An 18,708-nucleotide genomic window follows, 5' to 3' on the forward strand; every position below is an offset into this window, starting at 1 on the left:
AGGATTGCAACCCCTGCTTTTTTTGTTTCTTTCCAATTGCTTGGCAAGTATTCCTCCATCCCTTTATTTTGAGCCTATGTGTGCCTTTGCACGTGAGATGGGTCTCCTGAATACAGCACACTGATGGGTCTTGACTCTTTATCCAATTTGCCAGTCTGTGTCTTTTAATTGGGGCATTTAGCCCATTTACACTTAAGGTTAATAGTGTTATGTGTGAATTTGATCCTGTCATTATGATGCTAGCTGGTTATTTTACATGTTAGTCGATGCAGTTTCTTCATAGTGTCTATGGTCTTTAGAATTTGGTATGTTTTTGCAGTGACTGGTACTAGCTTTTCCTTTCCATATTTAGTGCTTCCTTCAGGAGCTCTTGTAAGGCAGACCTGGTGGTGACAAAATCCCTCAGCATTTGCTTGTCTGTAAAGGATTTTATTTCTCCTTCACTTATGAAGCATAGTTTGGCTGGATATGAAATTCTGGATTGAAAATTCTTTTCTTTAAGAATGTTGAGTATTGGCCCCCACTCTCTTCTGGCTTGTAGGGTTTCTGCAGAGAGATCCACTGCTAGTCTGATGGGCTTCCCTTTGTGGATAACCCGACTTTCCTCTCTAACTTCCCTTAACATTCTGTCCTTCATTTCAACCTTGGTGAATCTGACAATATGTGTCTTGGGGTTGCCCTTCTTGAGGAGCATCTCTGTGGTGCTCTCTGTATTTCCTGAATTTGAATGTTGGTCTGTCTTGCTAGGTTGGGGAAATTCTCCTGGATAATATCCTGAAGAGTGTTTTCCAACTTGCTTCCATTCTCCCCAGGACTTTCAGGTGCACCAATAAAACATAGGTTTGGTCTTTTCACATAGTCCCATATTTCTTGGAGGCTTTGTTCATTCCTTTTCATTCTTTTTTCTCTAATCTTGTCTTCATGCTTTATTTCATTAGGTTGATCTTCAATCTCTAATATCCTTTCTTCTGCTTGATCAATTTAGCTTTTGATACTTGTGTATGTTCACAAAGTTCTTGTGCTGTGTTTTTCAGCTCCATCAGATCATTTATGTTCTTCTCTAAACTGTTTATTCTAGTTAGCAATTCCTCTAACCTTTTTTCAAAGTTCTTAGCTTCCCTGCATTGGGTTAGAACATTGCCCTTTAGCTCAGAGGAGTTTGTTATTACCCACCTTTTGAAGCCTACTTCTGTCAATTCATCAAACTCATTCTCCATCCAGTTTTGTTCCCTTTCTGGCGAGGAGTTGTGATCCTTTGGAGGAGGATCTGGTTTTTGGATTTTTCAGCCTTTTTGTGCTGGTTTTTCCTCATCTTCGTGGATTTATCTACCTTTTGTCTTTGATGTTGGTGACCTTCGAATGGGGTTTTGGTGTGGTCATCCTTTTTGTTGATGTTGATGCTATTCCTTTCTTTTTGTTAGTTTTCCTTCTAATAGTCAGGCCCCTCTTCTGCAGGTCTGCTGGAGTTTACTGGAGGTCCACTCCAGACCCTGTTTGCCTGGGTATCACCAGCAGAGGCTGCAGAACAGCAAAGATTGCTTTCTGTTTCTTCCTCTGGAAGCTTCACCCCAGAGGGGCACCTGCCAGATGCCAGCTGGAGCTCTCCTGTATGAGGTGTCTGTCGATCCCTGCTGGGAGGTGTCTCCCAGTCAGGAGGCACAGTGGTCAGGGACCCACTTGAGGAGGCAGTCTATCCCTTAGCAGAGCTTGAGCGCTGTGCTGGGAGATCCACTGCTCTCTTCAGAGCCAGCAGGCAGGTACATTTAAGTTGGCTGAAGCTGTGTCCACAGCCACCCCTTCCCCTAGGTGCTCTGTTTCAGGGAGATGGGAGTTTTATATAAAAGCCCCTGATTGGGGCTGCTGCCTTTCTTTCAGAGATGCCCTTCCTTTCAGAGAGGAGGAATCTAGAGATGCAGTCTGGCTGCAGCGGCTTTGCCCAGCTGCGGTGGGCTCCACCCAGTCTGAACTTCCCAGGGGCTTTGTTTACACTGTGAGGGGAAAACTGCCTACTCAAGCCTCAGTAATGGTGGACACCCCTCCCCCAACCAAGCTTGAGTGTCCCAGGTCGACTTCAGACTGCTGTGCTGGCAGTGAGAATTTCAAGCTAGTTGATCTTAGCTTGCTGGGCTCTGTGCGGGTGGGATCCACTTGGCTCCCTGACTTCAGCCCCCTTCTCAGGGGAGTGAATGGTTCTGTCTCGCTGGCATTCCAGGCACCACTGGTGTATGAAAAAAAATTCCTGCAGCAAGCTGGGTGTCTGCTCAAACGGCTGCCCAGTTTTGTGCTTGAAACCCAGGGCCCTTGTGGTATAGGTACCCGAGGGAATCTCCTGGTCTGTGGGTTGCAAAGACCATGGGAAAAGTGTAGTATCTGGTCCAGAATGCACTGTTTCTCATGGCACAGTCCCTCACTACTTCCCTTGGCTAGGGGAAGGAGTTCCCTGACCCCTTGCACTTTCCAGGTTAGGTGACCCCCCACCCTGCTCCTGCTCACCCTCCATTGGCTGCACCCACTGTTTAACCAGTCCCAGTGAGATGAACCGGGTACCTTAGTTGGAAATGCAGAAATTTCCCACCTTCTGCATTGGTCTCACTGGGAGCTGCAGACTGGAGCTGTTCCTATTTGCCCATCTTGCCTGTCACCCTTAAAATTCATTTTAACCCCCAAAGGAAGTGCTCCTCAAACAATGAAATGAACACATTCTGAATACTAGAAAGAGAAGTCATCTGAGTGGTGATTTGAGTGGATTTTGAGGGAGTGGTAAATTTCATCTGAACTGCATCTGAGCTCCTTTTTCCTTCTGAGTACCTTCTCAAGGGGCTGAGGAATCTGCAGGTGTTTTGGGCATGATTTCCCTGGAAGGGTCTGATGTTTTTTTCCAGGGTTGGCTCAGTATGATATGAAAAGATGATAATGTGAGTGCCTTTGCTACCCATTGCCTTGTGTGTCAGGGCGAGGTTCTATCTTATCAAGGAGCATCAGGTGTCTGTCAGCCTCTGAGTTGGAAGATTTGATGGCAAATTTTTTTACTGTATAAGCAACTTGGCTAATTACCTGTCAATTTTGATTTATGTGTTGTTTCAGATCTCTGTACTGCTGAACAACCTGATCTATGACTTACTACTTGGATTACTGCTTTCAAATATCTGGGTGACTGTAAAGTGATAAGGTCTTAGGGAATGTGGTCAATAATCAGACAGTCTCCATGACAGGGCTGCAGGCGACTTACTTGTAATGTGATGTTCCAGCATAACTGTGAAAAATTACGTGGCCTTCCTACCTGAAACACATTTAAGATTGTTCAGGAACTATGACTACCAGCTGGCCTTTCTTTAATGCATCATTCTTAGCTTACCTTTTTCAACTGCCAACAGTAGTTTGGAATATTGTAGTCAAAGCTTTTTGGACTTTGCTTTCAGAGTTGCAAAGTGCCTTAGTGTTTTGTCTGAAATGCTTTGGTAGACATCGTGATGGTACTGAATGAGATGTGGTATAAGTGAAGAAATGGACTGTATTTTTATTTCTTTACTTCATGTGTGGGAAAGCCAGTTTTCCAAAAACGTCTTTACTATGCTTAATCACATTCTGCGATTGTAGTTAGAACATCTTGTTTTCACTGTGAGGGCAGATTTTCAATAAGTAGTTGATACTGGTGACCAATGGGCTGTGGAGATAAGTGAGAATATAATGTCAGCATAAGCTGCAAACAATTTACGTTCAGTTTCAGTGATCTTTGCTATTCCTTGCATCAAGAGGTAATATCTATTATATCATCCTACGCCTTGAGTCTGTATGGTCCTATGATTTGCTTTTACCCATAGAATTCAGTGGAAGTTGTACAACTTTGGAGCCCAATTCTTGAGAGACTTTATAGATTCCCCTGTTGCCTTCTTAAAATGCTGCTATGTGAAGTCCACAGTCTGCTATGTAACAAAGCCTAATCTAGCTTATTAAATGGAATAAGGCCACATGGAGCAAAGATGAGCCACCCAGCTAAGGACCCCTGGACCCACCAGCTGACAGCCACTATCAGCCTGTAGACATGGGAGTCATGCATCTTGGGCCATATTAGGTTTTCCAGTCCTAGTCAAGCTTGCAGATGACTGCAGCTGTATGAATGACCCCAGGTGGGACTAGAAGAGAAACTGCCCCAGAGCCCAGCCCAGATTTCTAGCCCCCAAAATCATAAAGGAATAGGAAAAAATGTAAAGGTTGTTTTAAGCCAGCACATTTTGGGATTGTTTTTTATGTAGTAATAGATAACTGATACAGAGGGAAAAACTGAGAAATCAAGCAAATTCTATTACTATCAAATGTTAGCTTTTCTTAAAATTTATTTTTAATAGAAATGGGGTCTCAATATGTTGACCAGGTTGGACTTGAACTCCTGGCCTCAAGCGATCCTCCCATCTCGGCCTCTCAAAGTGCTAGGCATGAGCCACCATGCCTGCCCAAATGTTAGCTTTTATAATTTTATTGAGAAATAAGACTTAAAGAAATTGGACTATAACTTGTTAGATCCTGGAAGTTTAGTGCAAGAAGGGATTTTAGAGGTTATTCCTCTAATTCTTTCAATTGCTGACATTATTTTCTTTTTTATTTCAGAAAAAAATTATCTATTTATTTATTTGTTTTATTTATTAATTTTTTATTATACTTTAAGTTCTGGGATACATGTGCAGACTGTTATGTGTGAATTTGAATCTGTCATTATGATGCTAGCTGATTATTTTGCCCATTAGTCGATGCAGTTTCTTCCTACTGTTGATGGTCTTTACATTTTGGTTTGTCTTTTCAGTGGCTGGTACTGGTTTTTCCTTTCCATATTTAGTGCTTCCTTCAGGAGCTTTTGTAAGGCAGGCCTGGTGGTGACAAAATCCCTCAGCATTTGCTTGTCTGGAAAGGATTTTATTTCTCCTTCGCTTATGAAGCTTAGTTTGGCTGGATATAAAATTCTGGGTTGAAGATTCTTTTCTTTAGGAATGCTGAGTATTGGCTCCCACTCTCTTCTGACTTGTAGGGTTTCTGCAGAGAGATCTACTGTTAGTCTGATGGGCTTCCCTTCATGAGTAACCTGACCGTTCTCTCTGTCTGCTCTTAACATTTTTTCTTTCTGTAAAGCTATAGGGGTGGAGCGGCCCAAGACCACAGGAACCCACCTCTTACATCAGCATGATCTGGATGTAAGACATGGAGTCAAAGGAGATCATTTTGGGGCTTTAAGATTTGACTGCTCCCCTGGATTTTGGACTTGCATGTGGTCTGTAGCCCCTTTGTTTTTGCCATTTCTCCCATTTGAATCAGCTGTATTTACCCAATGCCACTGATACACTGCTGGTGGGAATGTAAATTGATTCTGCCATTGTGGAAAGCAGTGTGGAGATTTCTCAAAGAACTTAAAACAGAACTACCTTCAACCCAGCAATCCCATGGTTGGGTATATAACTAAAGAAATATAAATTGTTCTACCATAAAGATACATGCTGTGTGTATTCATCACAGCACTATTCACAATAGCAAAGACATGGAATCAACCTAAAGGCCCATCAATGGCAGACTGCATAAAGAAACTGTGGTACATATACACCATGGAATACTATGCAGCCATAAAAAATGAGGTCATGTCCTTTGCAGTAATATGGGTGGAGCAAGAGGCGATTATCCTAAGTGAACTAACACAGGAACAGAAAACAAAATACTGCATGTTCTCACTTATAAGTGGGAACTAAACATTAAGTACACATGGACACAAAGAAAGAAACAATAGACACCAGAGCCTACATGTGGCTGGAGGGCAGGAGGAGGGAGGGGATAAAAAAACCTGCCTATTGGGTACTATGCTTATTACCTAGGTGCAAATTAATCTGTATACCAAACTCCTATGACATGCAATTTACCTATGTAACAAACCTGCACATATACCCCTGAACCTAAAATAAAAGTTGAAAAAATATCTATACTGTTATGACAATAAGGTATTTTATGTAAGCCTCATGGTAATCACAAAGCAAAAACCTGTCATACATATGCAAAAGATAAAGAGAAAGGAATCAAAACATGCCACTATTTAAAAAAATAATCAAACTACAGAACAAAACAGCAAGAGTGGAAGAAAGGCATAATAGAACTACAAAACAGAAAATAATTAACAAAATTGCAGTAGTAAGTCCTTACCTATCAATAATTACTTTAAATCCAATGGATTAAATTTTCCAATCAAAAGAGGTAGAGTGACTGAATTGACTATAAAACAAGATCCAACTAAATGTTGCCTAGGAGAGACTCACTTTAGCTTTAAGGATACATAGGCTGAAAGTGGAGGGATGGAAAAATATATTTCCTTCAAATCATAACCAAAAGAGAGCAAGCCTGGCTATACTTCTATCAGACAAAATAGACTTTGAGTAAAAAAGTTGTCACAAGAGACAGATAAGGTCATTACATTATAATAAAGGGGCCAATTCTTCGAGAGGTTATAATATTTGTAAATATATATGCACCTAACAACAGAGCGCCTAAATATTTAAAGCAAATATTAACAAAACAGAAGAGAGAACTAGGCAGCAATACAATAATGGTAAGGAACTTCGATACCCACTTCTAACAATGGGTAGATTTTTTCAGACAGAAAATCAATAATGAAATAGCAGAATTGAACAATATTATAGGCCAAATGAATCTGATAGACATATATAGAGTATTCCACCCAACAGTAGCAGAAGACACAGTCTTCTCAAGAACACATGGAGCATTTTCTAGGACATATTATATGTTTGGCTACAAAACAAGTCTTTAAAAATTTAAGAATATTGAAATATATTAAATATCTTTTCTGATTACAATGTTATAAAAGTAGAAATCAATAACAGGAGGAAAGCTGAAAATGTTACAGATATCAAGACACATACTCATGAACAACCAATGGGTCCAAGAAGAAGTCAAAATAAAAATAAGAAAATATCTAGGGACAAATGAAACACCACACTCCAAAACTTATTGGATGCCACAAAAGCAGTTCTAAGAGGAAAGCTTATGGCAATAAACACCTACACTAAGAAAAATGGAAGATTTCAAATGAACAACATAACTTTACACCTCAAGAACTGGAAAAAGAAGAACAAACTAAGTCTAAAATTAGCAGAAGACAGTACATAATAAAGATCAGAGCAGAAATAAATAAAAGAGACTAGAAAAAATAGACGAGATCAATAAAATTGATTGTTTTTGTTTTTAAGATAAACAAAATTGATAAACCGTTAATGAGGCTAAGTGAAAAAAGAGGGAGGACTCAAATCAAATTATAAATGGAAAAGAGGGTATTACAACTGATATCACAGAAATACCAAGGATTATAAGAAACTACTGTGAACAATAATATGCCCATAAATTGCATAACCTAGAAGAAATAGATAAATTTCCATGAACACATAAGCTTTTAGCATCATGTTGGCACTCAAAAAGTTTCAGGTTTTGGATCATTTTGGATTTTGACTTTTCAGATTTTAAATGTTCAAATTGTACTATAATGGTAGCGCATAAATCATTTTTTTTGTACTATAGAAATATATAACATGCCAAGACTAAATCATGAAAAACAGGAAAACCTGGACAGACCAGTAGTGAGTAAGGAGATTGAATCTGTAATTAAAAATATCCCAAAAAGGCCAGGAGCAGTGGGTCATGACTGTAATCCCAGCATTTTGGGAGGCCGAGGCAAGTGGATCACCTGAGGTCGGGAGTTTGAGACCAGCCTGGCCAACATAGTGAAACCCCGTTTCTAGTAAAAATACAAAAATTAGCCGGGCGTGGTGGCATGAGCCTGTAATCCCAGCTACTCAGGAGGCTGAGGCAGGAGAATTACTTGAACCTGGGAGGTGGAGGTTGCAGTGAGCTGAGATTGTGCCACTGCACTCCAGCCTGGGTGACAGAGTGAGACACTGTCTCAAAAAATAAAATAAAATAAAATAAAATAAAGTCCCAGCAAAGAAAAACCCAGGATCAGATAGCTTCACTGGTAAGTTCTACCAAACATTTAAAGAAGGGTTAATGCCAATTCTTCTCCAACTCTTACACAAAAATTGAAGAGGAAGGAGAACTTCCAAACGCATTCTGAGGTATACCTAAGCCAGACAAGGACAAAACAAGAAAAAAAAATTATAGGCCAACATCCCTGATGAACATAGATGTTAAAATCCTCAGCAAAATACTAGCAAACTGAATTCAGTAGCATATTAAAAGGACCATACTTTGTGATCAAGTGGGATTTATCCCTGGGAGGCAAGGATGGCTCAACATATACAAATCAATAAATATAATCCAACATATTAACAGAATGAAGAATAAAAATCATGATCACCTTCATAGATGCAGAAAAAGCATTTTGCAAGATTCAACATTCCTTTATTCAACATTCCTCAACAAATTGAGTATAGGAAAAATATACCTCAACATAAAAAAGGCCATACATGCTGGGCGATGTAGCTCACACCTGTAGTCCCAGCACTTTGAGAGGCAGAGGTGGGCAGATTACCTGAGGTCGGGAGTTTGAGACCAACCTGACCAACTTGGAGAAATCCCATCTCTACTAAAAATACAAAAAATTAGCTGGGCGTAGTGGCGCATGCCTGTAATCCCAGCTACCTGGGAGGCTGAGGCAGGAGAATCGCTTGAACCCAGGAGGCAGAGGTTGCAATGAGCCGAGATTGTGCCATTGCACTCCAGCCTGGGCAGCAAGAGCAAAACTCCATCTCAAAATAAATAAATAATAAAGGCCATACATGATGAGCCCACAGCTAATATCATAGTCAAAGGTGAAAAGCTGAAAGATTTTTCCCTAAGATTAGCAATAAGACAAAGATGCCCACTCTTAGCATTTCTATTCAGTAGAGTAGTGGAAGTCCTAGCCAGAGCAATCAGGCAAGAAAAAGAAATAACGCCACCTAAATCGGCAAGGAAGAAGTTAAATTGTCCTGTTTGTAGATGACATCATTTTATCCATAGAAAACTCTACAATTCCACTTGAAAACTGTTAGAACTAATACGTGAATTCAGTAAAGTTGTAGAATACAAAATCAACATGCAAAAATCAGTTGTGTTTCTATGTACTAACAATAAACTATCTGAAAAAAAATTTAGAATGCAATTCCATTGACAATAGTATCAAAAAGATAAAATACCTAAGCATAAATTTAACCAAGGAAGCAAAAGATCTTTACCCTGAAAATTATACAACATTGATAAAAGAAATTAGACACAAATAAATGAAAACATATTCTATGTTCATGGATTGGAAGAATTAATATTGCTAAAATGTTCATACTACCCGAAGCAATCTATAGATTCATTGCAATCTCTATAAAACTTCCAGTGACATTTTCATGGAAATAGAAAAAGCAATCTTAAAATTCATATGGAACTATGACCCTGAAAGCAATCTTGAAAGAAAAAAAGCTAAAAGAAGTATCTTTCCTGATTTCAAATTATATTACAAAATTATAGGAATCAAAGCAGTATGATATTGGCATAAAAACAGACACATAAACTAATGAAATAGAATGAAGAGCCCAGAAATAAACCCACACATATATGGTCACCTAATTTTCTATAAGGGTGCCAAGAATACACAGTGGAGAAAGGATAGTCTCTTCAACAAATGGTGTTGGGAAAACTGGATATCCACATGCAAATAAAGGAAGTTGGGTCGTTATCTTGCACCCTACACAAAAATCAACCCAGAATTTATTAAAGACTTAAATATAAGACCTGAAACTGTAAAACTCCCAGAAGAACTCATAGGAAAAAGCTCTTTGACATTATCCTTGGCAATGATTTTTTGGCTTTGATACCAAAAACACAGACAACAAAAGCAAAAATGAACAAGTGGTACTACATCAAACTAAAAAACTTCTGTGCAGCCAAAGAAACAATTAACAAAATTAAGAAATGAGAGAAAATATTTGCAAACCATATATCTGATAAGGGATTTTATCCAAAATATAGAAGGCATTTATGCAACTGAATAGCAAAAACATAACAAAAACCAAATAATTAAATTAAAAATGGGCAAATGTTCTGAAAGACATTTCTCCAAGGAAGACAAAAGGCCAACAGGTATATGACAATGTGCTCACCATCATTAATTATCAGGGAAATGAATGTCACAACCACAATGAACCATTGCCTCGTATCTTAGAATGGCTGTTATTAAAACAACAAGAGGTATATATAAAAAAAATTAAAATCAGGATCTAGAAGAGATTTTGGCATTCCTGTGGTCACTACAGCATTATTCATAATAGCCAAGATCTGGAAGCAACTTAATTGTCTGTTGATGGGTGAATGGGATAAAGAAATTGTGGTATGTACATACAATGGAATATTGCTCAGCCTTATAAAAGAAGGAAATCCCATCATTTGTAACAAAATGGATAGACTTGGAGAGTATTATGTTCAGTGAAATAAACCAGAAACAGAAAGACAAATACTGTATGATCTCACTAAATGTAGAATCTAAAACACTCAAACTCACAGAAGCAGAGAATAGCATGTTGGTCAGAGGTGATGGTTAAAGGGTATTATGTTTCAGTTATGCAAGATAAATAAGTTCTGCTTATACTGAATCTACAGCGTAGTGCTTATAGCTAACAATACTGTACTATATACTTAAAATTTTTTGAAAAAGTAGATCTTATGTTAAATGTTCTTACCAGAAAACAAACAAAAAAACCCACAAATAAATACCGCCTTCCAAACCCAAGGACAAAAATAAAAGGGATTGGAGGAGACTTTGGGAGATGGATATGTTCATGATGGATATGTTCATGGCCTTGATGGTTTCATGGGTATGTGTTTATCCCCAAACTCATTGAATTGTATGCATTAAATATATATAGTTTTTAATATGTCAGTCATACCTCAATAAAGTGGTATAAAACATAAAAGAGTATAACTGTTCTTCACAGACTCTTCTGAAGTGCTCATAACTTTCCTAAGAACATTCCCAGCATCTGATCATCACTGCAGAAATGGTGAAAACAAGAGGTCACCTCCTATATTTTCAAGACAAGAAAACAGAGAAGCAAGTGTCAGTCCTGGGATTCATCCCCAGGCCTCCTGGCCATCTGTTCAGGTTTCCTTCCTGCAGACCAGGCCATCTCAATGACCTTCAGAAGGTGGCCAAGGACCCTGTGATTCTGTGACATGGCTGGCCAGTCATGTTATACTGTGTCTGTGTATTTATGTGTACCTATGGTAGACATGAGATGCTCTGTCCAGGTGTCCAGATCTTCCTTCAAGAAAGAAGGATCAAACAGCCTCCAGCATCAGGAGCTTCAGGGTTGGCCTCAGCTGCTGAGAACTGCCTCACTTGCGGTCAAATCTTTCCAGGACAACCTGTGTCAGATGACTGAGCAAGACGGGTCATAAAAGTCCGGCCACTTTGGCCTCACTTGGGACAGCTCTGACAGGCAATATTTGATCTGAAACTTCCTGCCAGATTGGCAGGAGCTTTGTCAGGCCTGCATCAACATTTGCCTTCTCCCTCTGCCCGATCCTGCATCTGCCCGCTTCTTTCCACAGGTATGGATACATAGTAAACATTCTTACCTCATATTCTGTCCCAGCATCTGCTTCCAGACAACCCAGCCTGTGACAGTCCCCTGTCTTTTCTCTCCCATTTGACAAAGAACACTGTCAGAGATTAGAGAGACAAGACAGGCTGTAGATGAATGGCCCACTGGCATATTTTGATTGGCCTGTACAGTTGTATTAGTCTGTTTTCATGCTGCTAATAAAGACATACCTGAGACTGGGTAATTTATAAAGGAAAAGAGGTTTAATGGACTCATAGTTCCACGTGGCTGAGGAGGCCTCATAATCATGGTGGAAGGCAAAAGGCATGTCTTACATGGCAGCAGCCAAGACAGAAATGAGAGCCAAGTGAAAGGGATTTCCCTTTATAAAACCATCAGATCCTGTGAGACTTATTCCCTACCAGGAGAACAGTATGGGGGAAACTGCCCCTGTGATTCAATTATCTCCCACGAGGTCCCACAACACTTGGGAATTATGGGAGCTATAATTCAAAATGAGATTTGGGTGGGAACACAGCCAAACCATATCTGCAGTGTGGTTTGTATACAGATGAGTCAGTATAGAAAAATTGGAATATTACCCATAAAATCTAAATTTCTATATTCTATTTAAAAATTAGATGATCAGGCAACATTGGCCCTTTATTCTTGAATAAGAGACTATTGGTTGGGGCTGAAGAGTGGCTTCCTCCTTTAGAGAGACGAGTTCTCCAGCTTGTCAAAGTCCCCAGAACTTTCTACAGACTTGTACCTGTTCACCTCCCTCCCTTGTGTTATCTCCCTGACTCCTATGAACATCTGAGCTTTTCTTTTGACAAATATAGATGGTTCAACAGATGGAAAGCAGAATCTTTCCTGTGCTACCATATCTTTTTGATTCGATATGGATCTTTAAGAATTGGATTTCTCTCGGTTTAAGGCCACGAGAGCCTTTTGCTGGGTCCTTGGTTTAGCTAAGCACTCAGGGCCACTATCGCTGCCCTCTGTCACTCACCACCCCCAGAAAAAGGTGTTCTCCATGGACACATGGCAGGGAACAACACATACTGGGGCCTGTCGGGGGATAGGGGGTGGGAGGAGGGAAAGCATCAGGAAGAATAGCTAATGGATGCCAGGCTTAGTACTTAGGTGATGGGATGATCTATGCAGCTAATCGCCATCCGTGGCACACGTTTAACTATGTAACAAACCTGCACATCGTGCAAATGTACCCCTGAACTTAAAGTAAAAGTTGGAAATAAAAAAATAGAAAAGAAAAAGGTGTTCTCTTCAGTGAGGTTCATGTCAGACACCGCCTACATCGAGAAACCATATTTATTTCTTTTTACAAAGAGTATCATATTTTTTCACTATAAAACTCATTTTTATTATTGAATATTTGTTACCCTCAAAGGCTAACATTTTTCCAAAAATGAATATATCTCTCAATGTGCTTAGGTTGATAGTGGAGCCCTCCAGCCAAAGAAGCAGAATAACCAGAAACTCCTCAAACAGGGCCATGCCACCTCCCTTCTTGTCACCAATATTGCCTGTGGCCAGGTGTCCAGAGCTATATGGAAAGCCTCTTTGCCAGCCAAGTCTAATGCCTCTTCCCCCCGAATAAATTGCTTCTGCTTCTTCAGGGGGTCGTAATTATGTAAGACTCAATAATTATATAACAAATTGCTTTGAAGTGATTATTTAAATTATGCATTGGCAGGAATCGGGTATTCAACTATAATGAGCTTCATTGGTTATGAAAATGTCTTCTCTGAGCTGATACAATAACTGCTTCTGTCTGTTGCTGTTTGAAATATGGGCCAGCTGGAAGACTTCAAAAACTTAGATTGAATCACATTCAGAATATAAAAGACATTGTAAAGGGGTTGGCTCCCTTTGTATCTTCTGTTCCTGGGCAATAAGGGTCCTTAGCCTTGGCCACAAAATGGGGCTCTGATGGGGCTTCCTGCTAGGACAGGTGGAGCTGGTGCCCAAAGAACCAGATCAGTACAAGGCTAGGGGGACTGTAGCTTTCCAGCAGGAGTTCCCTTGGCATGAAGAGCTTGAGGGGGACCTAGACCTCCAGGCATCTGGTCCCCTTTCTCCTCCCTACCTGCTCAGCCCACTTGGAGAAGGAGATGTGTGTTTAGTGGGCTCTGTGCTGTGCTAACCCTCCCACAGCTTCCCTGAAGGCTGCCGCTTAGGGATGGCGGATGCTGGGAGTGTGTTGGAATGCCTGTTCCCAGGTGAATCATTACTATGTGGAGCCCCAGCAGGCTGGAACAGGCTGGCATGGTCCAACGCAGAGGAGTAGGAGGAGCCCAAACCCCTCAGCCCATGAACTTGCCTCTCTCACACCCAGAGCACCTGGACCAACCAGGAGAAGACCTTCGAGATGAACCTCTAGCAGCCAAAGGCATTCAGGTTTTACCAGAAGGGCCTCCAGGAAATCTTGACAAATAAGGGCTATGTTTCTGGCCATCGTGGCCTCCCTAGGCCAAGCATTGGCAAACTTTTTCTGTAAAAGACCAGATGGTAAATATTTTAGGCTTTCCAGGGCCCGGACTTCTCCCTCTCATATTCTTTGTGTTGTTGTTTAAACAACCCAGTAGAAATGTAAAAACAATTTGTAGCTACTGGGCTGTAGAAAAATAGTCTTCAGGCTGGATTTGGCCCCAAGGCCAGAATTGCTATATCCCTGCCTGGTGCAGTGGATTCCGTGATAAACCACTGGATTTTTCTGCTGTCCATGCTGAAGCCATGGAGATCTGATGGTGGGAAGCCAGCTTTGAATTTCAGATCTGATAGCTCTTCTGGAAAAAATGGAAAAGGATCGAACAGCCACATGCCCATCTCAGATCCTCTGATCCTGCAGCTGGGGTAACTCCATTCTCTTAATGCCCGCAGCTCCTGTAGAGCCTTCTTGGCAGTCAGTATTTACTGCCTGGCATTTGTAAGGATCTTTTCAGGTATACTAGAGCTGTATACATCTGCCTACACCCACCCACCCACTCCAAGAGTCCCTTGAGGGCAGAAGTGGCAAGCTTTCAACCACTTCATCTCTGGCCAGCACCGAGAACAGTGCCTGGGACCCTTGCAGTAGATATTGTGCTGACTGAGTGGTGTCTGATGCCCCCTGTGTGTTCCTCTTTTCCCCTTTCCTGCAGTGAACCCCAGGAAGTACAGAAGGTTAAGATATTTTGTGCATTGTGGGGTGTTTGGCAAGGTGTGGCCATGCAGGTGTTTGCTTAGACCTCTCTCTTGGTTCTCTGTGTGTTTCTCTAGCAAAACACATAGCAGCCTTTGTGATCTGCTCACCAAGAGTGGAATGTGGCTGCCCCTCAGTTTGGAGGAAACCAGAACCCCTGGGCCAGGCTGTGGCTCCAGTCTGAACACAGGTTCCTCAGATCTGCTGCTCCTCAGCTTTCTGGGATCACTGGTTGAGAAGCCGGGATTGCTTTGAAATCAGAAGCCTGACTGCTCCTTCCCAAGACTGCATTCACCTGTTTGGACCCAAGTGTATTGCGATTGGCTTCACCCTGTGCTTGTGGAAATGTCTGTATTTGAGCCTTAGCCTAGGGGTTCTCATTCAACTCAGGATATTTTGTTCTCTCTTGGAGTAATTTAAGGATTATTTCCTCTCTGAGATTATCTTTTTAGATGGCAAGATTTTCAGAATCCTTTCGGTTGCTAGCAATGGAAATCACTGACTTAACTGGCTTGAAGGGCAAGCAGCATTATCTCACATAGCAAGAAATCCAGAGGCGGAGTGCTGCAGGTGTGGTTAGTTCAGTGGTTCCATCTTGCCATTAAGGAAGAAGCTCTTTCTTCTCTTTGCTGCCATACTTAGTGTGTTGGTTTAGGCTTTGCATGAGCTTTCCTCATGGGTGAAAAATGCCTGTCACAGCTCCAGGTGGTGCATCATCATGATCACATCCAAGGGGAGAAAAGGGACTGTTTGCTCTCGTGCATCTTTGGTCCACAAGAAAAATTCTTTCCAGAAGTCTCTTACCGACTTTCTGTCATTAGCCATAAGCATGTCCTAGGTCTATGCCTAAATTAATCCCTGATATGATGTGTGAATCACCACAATGGTTTTAGATCAACCATGTCTCATCCTCTGGAACTGGGGCCAGGGTTCCTGGGAGCACAAGGCCCTACTGAGGAGTGTAGCCACCTGCATGACATTGGGGTTTTGTTGGGAGAAAAAAGAAAGGGAGCACCCAGCACCCATCAAAGTGTCTAGTACAGCAAACATTCCCCAGAATCTTTCCTCCTTGAGATGCTGAGGGACACAGAGCCTTCTGAAGTTCTATTAATAAAAGAGAAGTTTTAGAGAAGGCTGCTTGGAAAACTCCTATGGGAATACTGTGAGCTACTCCTTCTTGCCCCATCCTGCTTTTAGACAAGAACCATGGGTCTGTCTAATCCCACCTTAGTATATTGGCTTTGAAGACAGCTATGACAGCCATTGTTTATTGAGCATCTACTCTGTGCCAGGCATTGTGGGAGGGGCTTTGCACATATGGCTTCTAATCATGCAGCTACACTGGCAGGGCTGCGTTATTGTCCTTATTTTACAGATTAGGGAACTGGAATCTAGAGACGTCGAGTAGCTTGCCTCTGGCTGCACGGTCTGTATAGGGCTGAGCCAGGAGTCGGCAAGCACTTTTAAAGCATCTGCTTTGATCTAGGCACTGTACTAGGTGATGAGAATGCAAAAAAGAATCAAATATGGTTCCCACCATCAGGGAGCACATAGACATAGCCTGTCCCTTCTGGAAGGTCACCCAGTATAACTAAATATGTGTCGCTTGTCCAGGCTGGAAAACATCTTTGGAAGTGTGAGGAAATTAGGCAGTGTCTTGTGCCTTCTACCTAAAGACCTCCTGCCTCCTGTCAGGAAGCCTAAAGCTTTGCTGAATAGCTTGGTAAAGGAATTAGGAGCATGGGCTTTGGTGCCAGAGTGTGTGAGTTCAAATCCCATCTCTACCACTTTCTGGCTGGATGATTATAAGCAAGATACCTTGTGGGCTGCTACGAGGTAAAATGAAAGAGACCTTGTGAAAACACAGGAGAAGAGCTTGGTAACAGTTAGCAGCTGTTATTACCAATTTACGTTGCTCTTCAATGCACTTTCTTATCAGGTAAGATATCAGAGGCCCAACCTCCTAATCCCCTTAGTCTCTTAGCATTTTGCACCCTCCCCCAGGTTTGGGCATTGATGTCATAGGCTGCAGCTTGTAGATTGCTCCAGGTGGTGCCCGGCACATTGAGCTGCTTGATGCTAGCTCTTTAGTGTGAATGACAAGCTTGTCAGCCAGCTCTTACTGCAAGTGTGATTTCCTCCTGTGTGATGGCTGCACAGGGAGGCGATGGAACAGAAAATGAGCACCTCTCTTCCTCTCTCAGGGCACTCTTTGGCTTCCCCATGCTGGGTATAAATGAAGCTGCCTATGCTGAGAGGCCTGGGAAAGCCTACTGCTCCCTTCTAATGGGGAGATGGGACCCAGTGGGCAAGAAGGCAGGCAGGGGAATCCTCACGCCTGGCTCTTGTCTCTTGTCACAGACTTGAGCTGTGGCACCAGGAAGTCCCCTTGCCTAGGTTTCCTCTCCTGTGAACTGGGAGGGCCTTATCAGCCTGTAATCTCACTGAAAAATCCCCTTTGGGGGGCGGAAATGGAGATGGGTATCTGAGAAATAGGGCAGCCCAGACCTGCCTCCAAGGCAGCTGGCCCGAGATACCCGCCCGAGGAACCCGCAGGCCGCAGGCTCTGCTGGGCGTGCTGGACCTTGTCTGCATCCCTGTCTGCTCTGCAGCTTTCGACGCAGCTCATCCATCTGGAAAACTGCCGTGGGATGCTGCTGCCCAGGGGGCTGAGGGGTCTCATCGATCTTGGGGAAATAATTAAGGCCCGCAAAGCCTTGCCGGGCTCTATCGGTGCAAGGTGCTATTAAGAACAAGATAAAAGCTTTGAGCCTTGATTGAATCTGGAAAACAAGGCCCATGCAGGCATTTTTCTTTGTCATGGTGTCAAAGGAGAAGGGAGAGTCCCAGGGAAGAAGGAGGAAGATGAAGGAGCAAAGGAGAAAAGACAGTTTTTGAGACAGTAGACAAGAGCCTTGGGAAAAAAAAAAAAGCAAAACCCACTAAAATTGCCTGTGCTTTTTGCTTTCTTTCTTAAGGGGACACTGTGAAAGAGGAGTGGCGGCTTTGAAGGTGACACCACACGCCACCTTCTCCTGTTTGTCCCCAGTGTCTCAGGTGAGCAATTATCACCATCATTCCTGCAGAGGGAGTTTGCTCCTCCAGCGGGAAGTCCGACTGTGTTCCTTGTGGTGGTGGCCTCCTTGCCCCTGGCTCAGGGTCTTTGTTGCTTTCTTTCTTTCCTCTTGTGCATTGCTTTGCTCAAATGTTTGCAGGAGGAGGGTCTGCTCGGAGGCCAGGCCAGTGCTGGGCGGCCCCCTCCTTCCTTAGAACTTTATTGTGCTTTTGCTCTCTTTTTACTGCTTGGCTGCAACAAAGCCAGCTCTCAGGGCTGAAATCCAGCTGAGGAGATCTGATTTCTCAAAAGCCATTTTGATCTTTTCACTTCAAAGGTAGGTTTTTTCACGCCCGAGCCCCAGTTTGGTGGCCCCAGACCTGCCCTTTTGGGCTGTGGGTCTGGAGGGACCTGTGGTCTCTTCTTTACATGCTGTTGGGAGAGCCTGGGGTCCTGGCACTGGGGCTGCCCAGTGCCAGCCCGGGCAAGCCTCCGATGTAGGGAGATTTGTCCTTGATGTCCCTGGTCTCCAGCACCCCTGATGCCCTGCCTTTTCCTTCTGTCTGGCTCAGCCCTATACATCTCCCAATTGCCAAAGCCCTTCTGCTCCCCAATCCCCAGTCATCTTATGAACATTGGCTCTCAGGAATGAAACTGACCTTCGGGGTCTTCTTCGGAGGACTTCCTTGAGAGCTCCCACCTCCCAGCCACCCTCCCCCACCCAAGGTGCCTTTCCTCAGGGGCCCTACTATATTCTGTAATGCTCGGTAAGTTCCCTTATTCAGTTCCCACCACATTTTGCTTAATTATCCTTTTTCCTCCCACGACCCTCAGGAGATCATGAGGGCCTTGAATAAAGGAGCTGTTATTCCCCC

At 42.5% G+C, this 18,708-nt stretch overlaps 1 annotated feature.

Moving 5' to 3' along the window:
• Positions 17,707-18,208: an enhancer, noted in NCBI's record as "H3K4me1 hESC enhancer chr2:137039837-137040338 (GRCh37/hg19 assembly coordinates)". NCBI's record gives its function as "activates a minimal SCP1, AML or CMV promoter by ChIP-STARR-seq in primed H9 embryonic stem cells {active_cell/tissue: H9 hESC(primed)}" and the evidence as "EXISTENCE:reporter gene assay evidence [ECO:0000049][PMID:30033119]".

Source organism: Homo sapiens, chromosome 2, assembly GCF_000001405.40.
Source record: "Homo sapiens chromosome 2, GRCh38.p14 Primary Assembly".
Lineage (NCBI taxonomy): Eukaryota > Metazoa > Chordata > Mammalia > Primates > Hominidae > Homo > Homo sapiens.